This window comes from Homo sapiens, chromosome 16 (assembly GCF_000001405.40).
Source record: "Homo sapiens chromosome 16, GRCh38.p14 Primary Assembly".
Lineage (NCBI taxonomy): Eukaryota > Metazoa > Chordata > Mammalia > Primates > Hominidae > Homo > Homo sapiens.
In genome coordinates, this window is record NC_000016.10 from 71,935,728 (window position 1) to 71,950,897 (window position 15,170).

Here is a 15,170-nt window from a genome sequence, read left to right on the forward strand (position 1 = left end):
TCCATTGGATACATTTATTCTTTTTCTTGGAGATCATAAACTGTCACTTAAAAATCAATAATACAAAAGTTTCTTTCTTTGAGACAGGGTCGCGCTCTGTTGCCCAGGCTGGAGTGCAGTGGTGCGATCATAGCTCACTGCAGCCTCAACCTCCCAGGCTCAGGCTCAAGCAGTCCTCCTACCTCAGCCTCCCAAGTAGCAGGGACCACGAGCACATGCCACCATGCCCGGCTAAGTTTTGTATTTTTTGTAGAGACAGGGTTTTGACATTTTGCCCAGGCTAGTCTTGAACTCCTGGCTTCAAGTGATCTGCCTACCTCAGCCTCCCAAGGTGCTGGGATTACAGGCGTGAGCCACCATGCCCAGCAAAAATTTCTAAATTAGTTATCAAGCCTGAGAATGAAAAAAAAAATACTATGTTTGGCTTAAGATATAAATATATTTTCTTCTGAGTGTAATCATCTGTATTTTTTTTTCTTTTCTTTTTTTTTTTTTGAGACAGAGTTTCACTCTTGTCACCCAGGCTGGAGTGTAGTGGTGCCATCTTGGCTCACTGCAACCTCTGCCTCCCAGGTTCAAGCAATTCTGCCCCAGTCTCCCGAGTAGCTGGGACTATAGGAGCCCGCCACCATGCCCAGCTGATTTTTGTATTTTTAGTAGAGACAGGGTTTCGCCATGTTGGCCAGGCTGGTCTTGAACTCCTGACCTCAGGTGATCAACCCATCTTGGCCTCCCAAAATGTTGGGATTACAGGCGTGAGCCACTGTGCCTGGCCAATCACTTTTTTTTTTCTTTTTTTTTTTTTTTTTGAGATGCAGTTTCACTCTTGTTGCCCAAGCTGAAGTGCAAGGGCGCGATCTCGGCTCACTGCAACCTCCGCCTCCCGAGCAGCTGGGATTACAGGCATATGCCACCACGCCCGGCTAAATTTGTATTTTTAGTAGAGACGGCATTTCTCTATGTTGGCCAGGCTGGTCTCGAACTCCCTCAGGTAATCCGCCTGCCTCGGCCTCCTAAAGTGCTTGAACTACAGGCATGAGCCAATCATTTGTATTTTTGAGTGCTTGCTCTTTGTTCATCATACTTGCTTGGTATTACTTCATATAGGGCTAATAAAACTACAAAAGTACTATTTCTATAGACTTAATTCTTTAGCTCCTGAAAAATTGAAAGAGCCAATCTATTTGGTGGAAAACCAGTCAGCCTTTAACTGAATTCAGGTTTCTGAAAAGGACCAAAATTATAGCCATAATTCTAGTAACATGTCATTGTAGAGCTTCCCAAATAAAATGTGGCAACCTTTATTTCTCACATCTAACACCATCATCATCATCATCATTATTTTTGAGACAGGGTCTTGCTCTGTCGCCCAGGCTGAAGTGCAGTGGCGTGATCTTAGCTCACTGCAACCTCTGCCTCCCAGGCTCAAGCAATTCTCACATCTCAGCCTCCCGAGTAGCTGGGACCACAGGTGCATGCCACCACACCTGGGTAATTTTTGTAGTCTGGTAAAGATGAGGTTTTGCCATGTTGCCCAGGCTGACATCTAACATTATTGACTCACCTGTATGAAGGCATAGTAACAGACCAGTAGATAATAGATGACTTGTGAGATGATAGACCAGACACAGCCCTTCTTTGACATCTGAAGGGAAGTGAAGCTTTCCAGTCTCAAAGAGGTGAAGAAAGCACCTGAGAATAACAAAGAACACCTGGAGTCAAGAGTCTAAAACTTTTGCCCTCTTCTTGTTAAACTTTGTCTTTGAATAACCCCAACTCTTCCTGTATCATCAAATGTTTCTGAGTCTCAGTGCTCCACTTAGTATTTCCTTTAGAGCTGTCATGAACATTAAAGGAGATCATGTATGCAAAGCTATTGGAGAAATACTGGTTTTACAAAAGTCAGTAGTGGGAAAGGATATGCTGTTGACCCTACCTTGAAGGGAGGTGTCGGTGGCTTAACAGTTATTATAGATGTTACCCTATCCATGTCAGAGTGGCTGCAGAGAGAGGTCTAAAGCACTGATACCCCACGAGTACTAACGGTATCCCATGGATACTCAGTCATTTACATAAGGATGGACTAAAAGGCTTCAGCCTCCACCTGGAAGGACATTGAAAATGTTGACGTTTATAAAATCATGAAAGGTCTTGTGAATACAAACCTTTCACAAAGCTTCAAAATATTAGTGATGGCAGCAGCACCCTGTCTGGAGTGGCTGCTGCCATGACATCGGCTGCAGTGGGAGGCATGGCCGGGGCTTTGTGCGCTGTTGAGCTGCGGGAGCCAGTAACAGGTGGGAGCCCTGCCCCCTTCTGAGTTGGAGGGTTGGGAGCCCCACACTCCTGGGCAGAGCTGCAGCTGCCCAGCCACAGCTGCAGACCTGGGCATCCCTGCACTCGGGGGCTCAGGAAACCCCCCTGCCCCTGCAGGTTCAGAAGTGCCTGCTCCCACTGCATGGCCTCTCCCCACTCCCAGCACCTGCTCTGATTTTGGAGCAAAGTTTTGGCCAAGCCTGGGTGTGTGTGCGCTTGGGGCAGTGCTGACAAGCAGCCCCCTACTGCCTCGGCCTTCTCCGAACTTTGGACACGGACAAGCATGTGAGGCAGGGAGGGTAAGGGGGGGCTGAGGGTGGCTTGCCATGGGCCCGCAGGTGCCCCTTGGCACAAACAGCCTGGGCACCATGGGTGACATGGATGGCAGCAGGAGGCAGACAGGCTCCTGGGCAGAAAGGGGCAGGTCCCCAGTAAAGCCCCACCTTTAAAGCCAGGGATCATTTGAAGCCTGGGGGCTGGGCTGCCAGTTCTGGAACCTGCCAGTTTCACTAACTCAATTGAGAACTTATGGCGCTTCTTCTGGGCCCACCCATGGCTGCCCATGGACCAATAAGCACACACTTACTCCCCTCTGAAGCCCATAAAAACACCAGACTCAGCCAGACTTGGGCAGATGGCAGGATGACCTGCCTGCAGATAGGAGCTACCCACTCCAGATCTCTCTGCTGAGGGCTACACAAACAATGGGACGACCTGCCTGTGGATAGGAGCTACCAACTCCAGGTTTCCTGAAAACTGTCTTGTCACTCAATGAAGCTCCTCTCCACCTCTCTCACCCTCCAGTTGTCAGTGTACCTCATTCTTCCTGGATGCAGGACAAGAACTCGGGACCCGCTGAGTGGTGGGACTGAAAGAGCTGTAACACAAACAGGGCTGAAACACACCCCCTTGCTTGCCACACTGCAAGCAATGAGAAGGACAGAATAGCTGTGGCCCTTTGGGGGAGCCCAGACCTACAGGCTCCCTGAGCCAGGGCTGTGACACCCTCTTTGGGGCTCTGTGCTTCTGGCATCTCGAAGATTCTAGGCACCATGGCATTCCTCAGATGCAGTTACCCACAGCAGAAACCACATGCAGTACATCTGGTCCAGCTTCAGTCTTTCAGGGAGCCGGCACCTGTGCCAGCACATAGAGCTGCCCAACTCACTGCAGCAGCCAGCGTGCCTGGCTGTGTGCAATGGCTGGACCCCGTGCTTGCTCATCCATACATACCTCACTGCTCTGTACCTGGCTGTCTCTTGGCAGGTGTGGGATCCAGGCCAGTAGCAGGAGCTGAGTACAGGCTACCAGGCCAATTCGGCAGAACGAGCACAGTGGCTGCAAGCAATACTCAGGCAGAAGGTGCTGCCGGCCACAGAGGTTTCTGGCTGGCAAAGCAACACCCTAAGGATGCTGTGACATTAGAACTAAGATGTACCCCTTGTAGGTAAAAAAGACATTTAAGAACAAAAGGAATTTCTATTTCACCTAGCTAGCTCTCAAGACTGGAACTTTTCCCATGTTTATTTTAATCCCTGTCTATATTTTGTTAGTAACTAAAAACCCCATGAAGACCCTTAGGAAGCCTTTGTGCTTCATTAGAAACAAGCATAAGAGAAGTGGTCTACTCTCTGCAGGTCTGAGAGAAGAATTCTTGATTAGGAGAAAGATGTGATGGAAAATGGAAGGATACTTGTGAGCCAATTCTGGGAGAAGAAAGAGAAGTTGGATTAGGATAGATGTCCTGTGAAAGGTGGGGGAACTGAATGGACCAGTTTAACTCCAATCCCTTACAAAATGCCACTATAATGAAAGTGACAGGATAAAGTAAAAACTTCAATAGATGAAGAAAAGGAGGGCAGATGAGAGCAACAAACTGCTGGAAGCTGAAAAGTAGAGGAATCACATTGACTTAGCAAGTTCAAGAAAGCTGAAATCTAAGGCAGCTGTACAGGAAACCCGGAAGCAAGCTAATTCTAACCAAGAAACCTTGGAAAGCCTCAGAAATTGCAGGCATCAGGTACTTCTGAAGGTAGAAGTTCAGGTGGAACTGAAAATAGCATCAACTGAAAGTCAATATATATATAAACAACAACTAGATTCCAAATTTCCTCCCTCACCATTCACAACCAGGTATTTGCTACCTATCTTGCCTTCTACCACCCCATGACTAAAGGTTTGTTTCCCAGTGATGCTGTATGAGAGAATCTGGACTTGGGGGCACCAGCTACCTCTGAGAGTAATGGTTTACTGGAAAAGGGGATTAAGGGAAAGTTTACGTGCTGCATGGTGAGACACTTCCCAGATCCCTTCCCTCAACTTGCTCTGATAAGTATAATAGGCTCATATACTCAAGATTGGAGTTTGTAGGGTCTCTAAAAACTGACTGCCCAAAAAGAGAGACTTAGATACCCAGTTGATAAGCTCTATGCATGGGCACAGAGCTTTGTTTTTTATTTTTTTTTTATTTTTTTGAGATGGAGTCTCACTCTGTCCCCCAGGCTGGAGTGCAGTGGCACGATCTCAGCTCACTGCAACCTCCGCCTCCTGGGTTCAAGCAATTCTCCTGTCTCAGCCTCCTGAGTAGCTGGGATTACAGGCATGTGCCACCATGCCTGGCTAATTTTTGTATTTTTAGTAGATATGGGGTTTTGCCAAGTTAGCCAGGCTAGTCTCAAACTCCTGACTTCAGGTCATCTGCCTGCCTCGGCCTCCCAAAGTGCTGGGATTACAGGTGTGAGCTACCATGCCCAGCCAGGCACAGAGCTTATAATTAGCATTTATTTGCTTTTTATTGCCTTTTTTTTTTCTTGATACAGGGTCTGGCTCTCACCCAGGCTGGAGTGCACTGGTATGATCTCAGCTCACTACAACCTTTGATTCCCAGGATCAAACCATTCTGCCACCTCAGCCTCCCAAGTAGCTGAGACAACATGTGCACACCACCATGCCAGGCTAATTTTTGTATTTTTGGTAGAGACGAGGTTTCACACCATGTTGCCCAGGCTGGTCTCGAACTCCTGGGCTCAAGTGATCTTCCTGCCTTGGCCTCCCAAAGTGCTGGGATTATAGGCTTGAGACACCGCACCCAGCCTGCCTTTCTTTAAAAGGACAGCCAGGCACTTGAACCTCTAATGCTGAAAACTGTAGATCAAAACAAACAACAAATCAAAAAACTAGAGACAGTAAAGGATCAGAAGGAAAAAAACCACCATAATATCCTCAGAGTTAAGAGGATATTGCATCCGTAAAAGAACAATAAGAGACTATGAAAAAAACAATTTGGAAATTAAATATTATAGAAAGAAAAAATAGTTTAGAAGATAAAAATTAAATACTGCAGATATTAGATGAAAAAGATGGAAAACAGAAGCAAAAATATAAGAAAATCAGAACTCCAGGAGTTACAATGTCAAAATGCTAGAAAATCAGAAAAAGTGAACAGAAAAAATGGAGAAGAAATTAACCAAAAAAATGCAAGAAAATTCCTCAGAACTTAAGGTCACGTTTCCAGATGATAGAACATTCTATGACATTCTTTTTTTTTTTTTTTTTTTTTGAGATGGAGTCTCGCTCTGTCACCCAGGCTGGAGAGCAGTGGCACCGTCTCAGCTCACTGCAACCTCCACCTCCTGGGTTCAAGCGATTCTTCTGCTTCAGCCTCCCGAATAGTTGGGACTGCAGGCGCGAGCCACCATGCCTGGGTAATTTTTGTATTTTTAGTAGAGACGGGGTGTCACCATATTGGCCAGGCTGGTCTCGAACTCCTAGACCTTGTGATCCACCTGCCTCGGCCTCCCAAAGTGCTGGGATTACAGGCATGAGCCACCGTGCCCGACCTCTATGACATTCTTTCATAACTCAGAGGACAAAGAAAAAAACCTAAAAACTTTTGGGGTTGGGGACTGGGAATCAGCATGCCAGCATAATACTTTTTAACACTAACATGAAAAGCTAGAAAGCAATGGAGCTACACTTTTCAAAATTCTGGCTGGGCACGGTGGCTCATACCTGTAATCCCAGCACTTTCGGAGGCCAAGGTGGTCAGTTCACTTGAGGTCAGGAGTTCAAGACCAGCCTGGCAAACATGGCGAAACCCCATAAAATATGTAAATACATAAATTGTAAAAATAAAAAAATCAGCCAGGCATGGTGGCGGGCACCTGTAATCCCAGTTACTTGGGAGGCTCAGGCAGGGAGAACTGCTTGAACCCAGGAGGCAGAGGGTACAGAGAGCCAAGATGGTGCCACTGCACTCCAGCCTGGGCGACAGAGCAAGACTCCGTCTCAAACAAACGAACCAAAATCCTGCAAGAAAGAAATTATATACAGATAAATTAGAATCTAATGTGATGGGAGAATAAAAACACTTTTGGAGATGTAAGTCTCCAACAAATTTACCTCTCTTGTACTCTTCCAGGAAGTTACCTTCAATGAAACCACATTCCTGGTTTTGCACTTATTGAACAGCCTTCTTTGCTACGTGTGGTTGAATTCCAGGGGTCACTCCAGTTACCTCTCATGATGTAACTGAATCCATTCTCATTCTTGCTTGTCAGCCTTTCGTGAAGCTCATCAGTGGGAATCAGCACCATGGGCCTGGGTGAACAGATGTAACTGAACCTCCTTAGATGAAGTCCAGGGAATAGGCTCTTGGGACGCCCACAGGTATGGCCGTTATCACAAAACGCCAGCTGACCTTCGTCCACTTTCTCATAGGTCTTGGTACGGGGTATTTGGAAAATTAATTGTACCCCACATTTGCAATGACTGGGCTCCAGGACTGCATTCTTACCTCTGTAATCCCCATACAGGCTAGGAAGAAGGATATGATTGGCCCAGGGGTAGAAATCCTGAAGAAGTTTGATTTCCGAGAACTGGTGCGAAAATGTCTTCCAGATAGCTTGGTGGAGGTAAAATCTATTGGAGTTCTTTGCAGAGTAGATTGCAGTCATCAACAGGGTAAGGAAGAGGATTTGTACTTGTTTAGAAGAGGAAAAAAATGTCATAGTTGAGTGGTTAACTTAGAAATCCTCTATGTCTTTTTCATTTTTCCTAAGTCTATAGACTTATGCAGGTCAAAACCAGTCAAAAACTGGCTGTTTCATATGGTTCAATCTAATAATTATAAATACATACATACACATTTCCTTCCCAGAATTATTCTGCCACTAATGATACATTTTACTTAAAATAAGATACAATGGCTGTGGCTGGGCACAGTGGCTCACACCTGTAATCCTAGCACTTTGGGAAGCTGAGACGGGCAGATCACCTGAGGTCAGGAGTTCGAGACCAGCCTGACCAACATAGTAAAACCCCCCCATCTACTAGAAATACAAAAATTAGCTGGGCGTGGTGGTCTGTGCCTGTAATCCCAGCTAACCAGGAGGCCGAGGTAGGAGAATCGCTAGAACCCAGGAGGCACAGGATGCAGTGAGCTGACATTGCACCACTGCACTCCAGCCTGGGCAACAAAGTGAGACTCCGTCTCAAAAAAAAAAAAAAAAAAAAACATAAAATCCCGCACAAGAAATATGGTGTTTAGCTCTAAGGACTAAGCATGCACTCTGTCTCTCATGTGATTGTGTTTACAAGAAGTGAAGTCATGATAAAAGCAGAATTTGTCTTATTTGGACTAGGGAATCCAATAATGAACTAGATGTGTTGAAGCCAGTCAACTGGCACCTACAGAAGAGCCATCTGCCAAAGCATTTTCATTTTCCCTCCATAGATCAAGTGTTATTACATTTTGCAGGTGGAGAAAGTGACTTACTCAAGCACACAATAAAACCTCTAGACTCCAAGGTCAGGGATCTGTCCAGTTACCATCCCACCTGCTTTACTGGAATCCCAAATCTCACAGGGTGAAGATTTTAAAAGACAGCTTTTTAACCCTTCTTTATTTTCCATTTTATTCTCTCTCTTCCTTTCCCTTCTGGAAAAGGTGCTGTGTTATCAGTATGTTGCCATTTCCTCTCCATACCCAAAATATCTCCAGTCAGCTTGAAGAGTTTCTTCTTTTTCAAGGTTCTTTCTGGGTGCTTAGTTGGACTATTTATAGCTGGGGCTACATAGACGGGGTTGTTCTTATCTCTTGAACCTGGTACTGACGAAGAACATTTTGCTGTCAAAAATTCAAATATAGACCAAAGAAATGTTATATTTCATTAAGCAGTCACTCACCATTCATTGAGCATCTACTGTGAGCACCTCCTTTTAAATGTTAAACAAGGAATAAAACTACCTATGCAGTGCTTCTTAAACTCTCTATTATAAAGGACCTGTTTTTTAAAAAATTCCAATCAATTGGGGACTGATACTTTTGTACAATACAGTAAAAATGAGTTACTAGGCTGAACACAGCGGCTCATGCCTGTAATTCCAATTCTAGCACTTTGGGAGGCCAAGGCAGCAGGATCACTTGAGGCCAGGAGTTGACCAGCCTGGTCAACATAGTGAGACGTTGTCTCTACAAAAAAATAAAAAATTAGCCAGGCATAGTGGCTCATGCCTGTGGTCCCGGCTACTAGGGAGACTGAGGTGAGAGGACTGATTAAGCCCAGGAGTTTGATGTTGTACTGAGACTAGCAGATAGTTTGAGCTCAGGAGTTTGAGACCAGCCTGGGCAACATAGCAAGACCATATCTGTTTTTTGTTTGTTTTTTTTTTTTGAGACGGAGTCTCACTTCGTTGTCGAGGCTGGAGTGCAATGCATGATCTTGGCTCACTGCAGTCTCCACCTCCCAGATTCAAGCGATTCTCTTGCCTCAACCTCCTGAGTAGCTGGGATTACAGGCACATGCCACCACACCTGGCTAATTTTTGTATTTTCAGTAGAGACAGGGTTTTGCCATGTTGCCCAGGCTGATCTCGAACTCCTACCTCAGGCGATCAACCCGAGACCCTGTCTCTTAAAAAAAAATTAAAACATATATTAAAAAAAGAAAAAAATAAAGCAGAAGCATGCAAAATACAAGCCCTGTTTTTGATAATTAGATTTAGTACATATAAAGTTAATCTGCCAAATTGTTAAAGTTTTTAAATGCTCATTCCTGATTCCTGTACTTAGACTAGAAACAAACTGTTCTAGTCAGTGGATCACACTTTGGGAGCACTGTTCTATAGTGGTATTCTCAGATTTTAATGTGCATAGGAATCATCTGGGAATTTTATTAAAATATGGATTCTGGAGTGAGGCCTAAGATTCTGAATTTCTTAACTATATATATATATATATATATATATATATATATATATATACACACACACACACACATATATACACACACACACACATATATTTATATATGTATTTATATACACACACGCACACACACATATATATATATATATTTATTTATTTATTTATTTATTTATTTATATATGTATTGGGAGGCCAAGGAGGACTGATCACCTGAGCTGAGGAGTTCAAGACCAGCCTGGCCAATATGGGAAAAACTTGTCTCTACTAAAAATAAAAAGTTATCCAGGCGTGGTGGAGTGCACCTGTAATCACAGCTACTCGGGAGGCTGACACAGGAGAACTGCTTGAATCTGGGAGGCAGAGGTTGCAGTGAGCCGAGATTGTGCCACTGCACTCCAACCTGGGCGACAGAGCAAGACTCCATCTCATAAATAAATAAATAAAAATAAAAATAACTAGAGGAGGGCATGAAACTTGCCAGCATGTGTGTTCCAAGCACCATGGGATCAGTGAAGAGTGAGCAAATAAATCTCTCCAAGAAAGTCAGAGAAGGCGCCACAGAGGAAGTGACATTTGACATTTGTTTTGAAGGATGAATCAGAGCTCTCCAGATGAACAAGGGTGATGATAAGGGGAAAAAAGTCTCTTTTAGGCAGAGAAACCAACAGTTCAGAATGCACAGAGAAACAAAATAAGTGCAAGGAAGGCAATTTATTATTATTTTTGAGACGAAGTTCCGCTCTTGTCACCCAGGCTGGAGTACGATGGCACGATCTTGGCTCACTGCAACCTCCGCCTCCCAGGTTCAAGCGATTCTCCTGCCTCAGCCTCCCACGTAGCTGGGATTACAGGCATGCACCACCACACCCAGCTAATTTTGTATTTTTAGTAGAGACAGGGTTTCACCATGTTGGCCAGGCTGGTCACAAATGGAAGGCAGTTTAAAGTCAGATTAAGTTTTTTCATCTCACAAGGAATGGAGTGCCTACTGCTTAGCAGTAGATCACCACTTAAGAATAAGTGACTGCCAACATAAAGTGTGCTGTGTACCCCTCTGTGATGGCATTCCTTCTTTCCCTCACAGGTAGTCCTTTCCTGAATTCTGGAGTTTATCATTCCCATGCATTTCTTTATACTTTATCTATAAATGCATAGAGGAGATACATATATAACCTCTTGTCAAGACATGCATCGTTTTTACATGATTAAGATATTGTGCCAATTTTTCTGCAACCTCTTGTTTTGCCCAAGATTGTGTTTGTGAGGTTCATCCAGGTGATAAGTTAGCCCTAGTCAGTTAGAGGGTAGGCCAGTTAGCCTTAGCCAGTTAGAGGGTAGGCACTCTCCAGCATGGTGACTAAATGTGGAAACTAACAGAGGAATTTAGGATTATGTACTCCGACTTTTTCAGAGAATGCTGATGCTCTTGACTGAAATGAGAAAATATAGTAAAGAAGTGGATTTGTGGGGCAGGCAAACAATTCAGTTTAATTTGACATACTTGGAGGCATCTAGCTCCAGATAGGGAGCAGTGGAGAACAGCACCTGGGGCTCATGAGAGAGGGGGAGGAGGAGGGAGAAGGGGATGAGGGAGAGAAGGAGAGAGGGAGAGAGAGAGGGAGAGAGAGAGGGAGAGAGAGAGGGAGAGAGGGAGGGGGAGAGAGAGAGAGAGAAAGGGAGAGAGAGAGGGAGAGAGAGATGAAAAAGATCTAAAATGTAGGGGAGTCCGGGGGCGGTGGCTCACGCCTGTAATCCCAGCACTTGGGAGGCCGAGGAGAGTGGATCACCTGAGGTCAGGAGTTCAAGACCAGCCTGGCCAACATGGCAAAACCCTGTCTCTACTAATACTACAAAAAAATTAGCCAGGCATGGTGGCAGAGGCCTGTAATCCCAGCTACTCGGAGGCTGAGACAGGAGAATCGCTTGAACCCAGGAGGTGGAGGTTGTAGTGAGCTGAGAACACATCATTGCACTCCAGCCTTGACAACAAGAGTGAAACTCCGTCTCAAAAAAATAAAATTAAATAAAATGCAGGGGAGAGATGAAGCACTGGGAGAGAGGATGTGATGACTGAGGTGAAGATCCTCATCTGGAAGGGCATTAGTCTTGGGCAGAAAAGGAGAAATAACCAGTTGGTTAGAGACAAGTCCTTTGAATGGGTTAATTTATCGAGTCAGCAAGGTGGCCAGATCTAATTTGCTTTTTGCAAAATTAGGTAGTTGTTAGAACTACTTGAGTTACCCAAGAGTGCCAAGATCCTCTTTGTTTGTTGTTCATTCTCTTTGTTAAGCCGTGGCATCCTGCTCATCATCAGTGAGTATAAGAATGTGAAGAAGACCACCTGGGCAGGAGAATCACAGAACATCGTGAGCAGACATTACAGACCCAGGAAGATAATACCGTATGTAAAGGAAGAGGTGGGCACTCATGAAAAACTTCAATTATTTGGCTCTTCATTTTAATGAAAAACTAATTTCACATTAATTTTTGCACAATGATGGGTACCAGGAGAAGGACCATCAGACTCTAAATAATGCTAATATTCATATTTTTTGCTTATAGTTCTTAATCTGGTTGGCTGGGGGAGCTTACACTGTCAAACGATTTGTGTTGTCTATTCAATAACATCTCTCAGTATCTTTGGAAAACCTCTGATAAAGATCCAGACTCTTTTTTTTTTTTTTGAGACGGAGTCTCGCTCTGTCACCCAGGCTGGAATGCAGTGGCGCAATCTCGGCTCACTGCAACCTCCGCTTCCTGGGTTCAAGCGATTCTCTTCCTTCAGCCTCCCGAGTAGCTGGGACTACAGGTGCATACCACACCCAGTTTATTTTATTATTATTTTTTTTGAGACAGAGTCTTGTTCTGTTGCCCAGGCTGGAGTACAACGGCACGATCTTGGCTCAGTGCAACCTCTGCCTCCCGGGTTCAAGTGATTCTCCCTGCCTCAGCCTCCTGAGTAGCTGGGATTACAGGCACTCACCACTATACCTGGCTAATTTTTATATTTTTAGTAGAGACACGGTTTCGCCATGTTGGCCAGGCTGGTCTCAAACTCCTGACCTCAGGTAATCCGCCTGCCTCGGCCTCCCAAAGTGCTGGGTTTACAGGCGTGAGCCCCCACAGCTGGCCTGGGATTTTTGTATTCTTAATAGAGACAGGGTTTCACTGTGTTGACCAGGTTGGTCTTGAACTCCCAACCTCAAGTGATCTGCCCACCTTGGCCTCCCAAAGTGCTAGGATTACAGGCATGAGCCACTGCGCCCAGCCACTATGGATTTTCTTGAGATGGATCCTTAGATGTGAAACCTCTCTAGCAAAAGGTGCAGAAGTTGCAGGTTGTCACTACATATTGCCAGATTTTCCTTAACGAGCACTGGCTGTTCATTTCCTTGGCATTACTGTGTATTATTATTTTTCTTTGCCATTATTAAAACAAAAATGCAATATTATCATTTTATTGGACTAGTGAAACTGAATTTCTTACATGTGTTTTGGCCACTGCAATTACAGGTTTTGCTTTAAAAAATTTATATCTTAACTTACATATAGTAAAAAAAAAAAAAAAAAAAAAAGTCACTTTTTGGTGTGTAATTCCATGAGTGTTGTTTAATACTTAGAGTTGTATATCCACCACTACAGTCAAGATACCAAGTAGTTTCATCACCCCCAAAATTCCCTCAGGCTGTCCCTTTGTATTTATATTTATTTTCCATATCTAAAAGATACAGAACAGTCTGTATCTTTTAGAAATATAAAGTCTGAAGTACATGAAATGGATAAAATGATATGAAGTCTGATATTGTTCCCCCCAAATAATAGATGAAACAAATTGGCCATGAGTTGGTTATTGTTGAAGCTGGGTGGTACGACTTTAGAATGCATTGTACTAGTCTCTACACTTTTGTGTGGGTTTGACATTTTTCTTAATTAAAAACATTTTAAGTTTTTTGTTGTTTATTTTTTTCAAAGTGCTTTGGGTTGTTGATTTGTTACTGTCCTCTTCACTCCTCAATCCTTTTCTGCCATACTTCTTAGTTTTTTCTGTCATGAATTACACTTATCCCTAACAAATGTCAGTTAAATGTCAGTTTGCTTTTTTTTTTTTTTTTTTAGTTTTGAGACAGGGTCTCACTCTGTCACCTAGGCTGGAGTACAGTGGCGCAATCACGGCTTACTGCAGCCTCGACCTCCTGGGCCAAGCAATCCTCCCACCTTAGACTCCTAAGTAGCTGGAACTATAGGAGCACACCACCATGCCTGGCTAATTTTTTCTAATTTTTGTAGACATGGAGTTTCATCATGTTGCCCAGGCTGGTCTCGAACACCTGGACTCAAGCAATCTGCCTGCCTTGGCCTCCCAAATTGCTGGGATTACATGTGTGAGCCACTACACCCAGCCTGGTTTGCCTATTTGTTTTTTGTTGTTTATGTTACATTGTCAAAACCACTAGGCACCTTGGATTGACACCCAGGGACCTCAGTTCCCCTAACTTCTGCAACTCCAATGGTTCTTCCCATCCCTCACATACCTTTACTGGCTGGCTGATGAAGATGTTCTGAAGCACTGATAAAATAATTGAAATCATCCAGCTGGTGGCTTGGTCTTTGCTCAATTCCAAGCTATAAAGTGCTGTAAAAAAGGCTGAAGCCAGGCTAGTGAAACCTAAGAGGAGCCAGCAGACTGAAGTCAACCATTTGGACAGGCCATTTGAGATGGGCTTTTTTCCTTCTTCTGAGCTCAGGATGGCAAAACTGGTGACTTCCCTGAAGCACAAAAGTTGAGGGAATAATCTTGTATGCATCGGCTGAGATAGAGGATGAGGAAGATTACAGGGGATAAAGAAGGCTTGGTGTGGTGCATTACCTGGATGGCTCTTGCTCCGTGGGAAGAATATGTGTTTCCAAGAGTTCCTGGAGTTTTTGAAGTTGGCTGGCTGCATCTAGGAAGTCACAGGACTGGTGACCCTGGGTGAGACCCAGCGTGCCTAAGTGAGATTTCAGCCTCTGCAGAACTCTATGCAGGTAACAGCAGAAATGATGGTGGTTTTCAGGAACAACTGAAAATATATTTCAAGTTGACACTTTCACAAGTGGATTTCAATAAGAAGCAATTAGTGGTAGAGATTAACAATTCATTGATGGATGATGAGGCTATATTTTCCCACTACTAGCAGAGATTGGACCGTACCCCACATTTGCAGTACTACCATCTTCTCTAAGGATGCTGGTGAATTTTTAACAATTGTAAAATTCTAAGCTTTGATCTAAAGACTTTTAAAACCTTATTGAGTTCTTCACCAGAATGGCAGTACATGTGACCTATACTAGTAAGTGCCCAGGAGACTCAAACAGTATTTGAGAATCCATAAATTCCATAATCTCATCATCTCATAAAAGAAAAAGGATGACAAGTTTCAACAGCCTTTGACAAAGCAGAAAGGATATGTGGGTATAATACAGAAAACTTTTTTTTGTATTTCTCTCTTTTTTTTTTTTTTGAGATGGAGTCTTGGTCTGTCGTCCAGGCTGAGTGTAGTGGCACGATCTTGGCTCACTGAAACCTCTGCCTCCCGGGTTCAAGTGATCCTCCTGCCTCAGCCTCTCTAGTAGCTAAGATTACAGGCATCTGCCACCATGACCAGCT

General features: G+C 44.2%; 1 protein-coding gene across 11 annotated transcripts in view, besides 1 other annotated feature; it reads right to left on the bottom strand.

Annotated features, from left to right (window-relative positions):
- PKD1L3 (polycystin 1 like 3, transient receptor potential channel interacting) overlaps positions 1 to 15,170 on the bottom strand; it is a 70,865-nt gene that overhangs the window by 6,190 nt on the left and 49,505 nt on the right. For 7 of the 11 annotated variants that reach the window (XM_024450254.2, XM_024450257.2, XM_024450256.2 and 4 more), the window contains 6 exons: positions 14,391 to 14,583; positions 14,056 to 14,290; positions 11,765 to 11,864; positions 8,303 to 8,443; positions 6,833 to 7,297; positions 1,565 to 1,692 (listed from right to left, as the gene is read on the bottom strand). In XM_024450254.2, the coding sequence (XP_024306022.1) occupies positions 1,565 to 1,692; positions 6,833 to 7,297; positions 8,303 to 8,443; positions 11,765 to 11,864; positions 14,056 to 14,290; positions 14,391 to 14,583 (1,262 nt within the window). Of the gene's footprint in view, positions 1 to 1,564; positions 1,693 to 6,615; positions 7,298 to 8,302; positions 8,444 to 11,764; positions 11,865 to 14,055; positions 14,291 to 14,390; positions 14,584 to 15,170 lie in introns of those variants that run through there. The other 4 variants (XM_024450255.2, XM_017023201.2, XM_017023202.2 and 1 more) reach the window with 4 other exon arrangements.
- Positions 1,878 to 2,455: an enhancer, noted in NCBI's record as "H3K27ac-H3K4me1 hESC enhancer chr16:71971508-71972085 (GRCh37/hg19 assembly coordinates)". NCBI's record gives its function as "activates a minimal SCP1, AML or CMV promoter by ChIP-STARR-seq in primed H9 embryonic stem cells {active_cell/tissue: H9 hESC(primed)}" and the evidence as "EXISTENCE:reporter gene assay evidence [ECO:0000049][PMID:30033119]".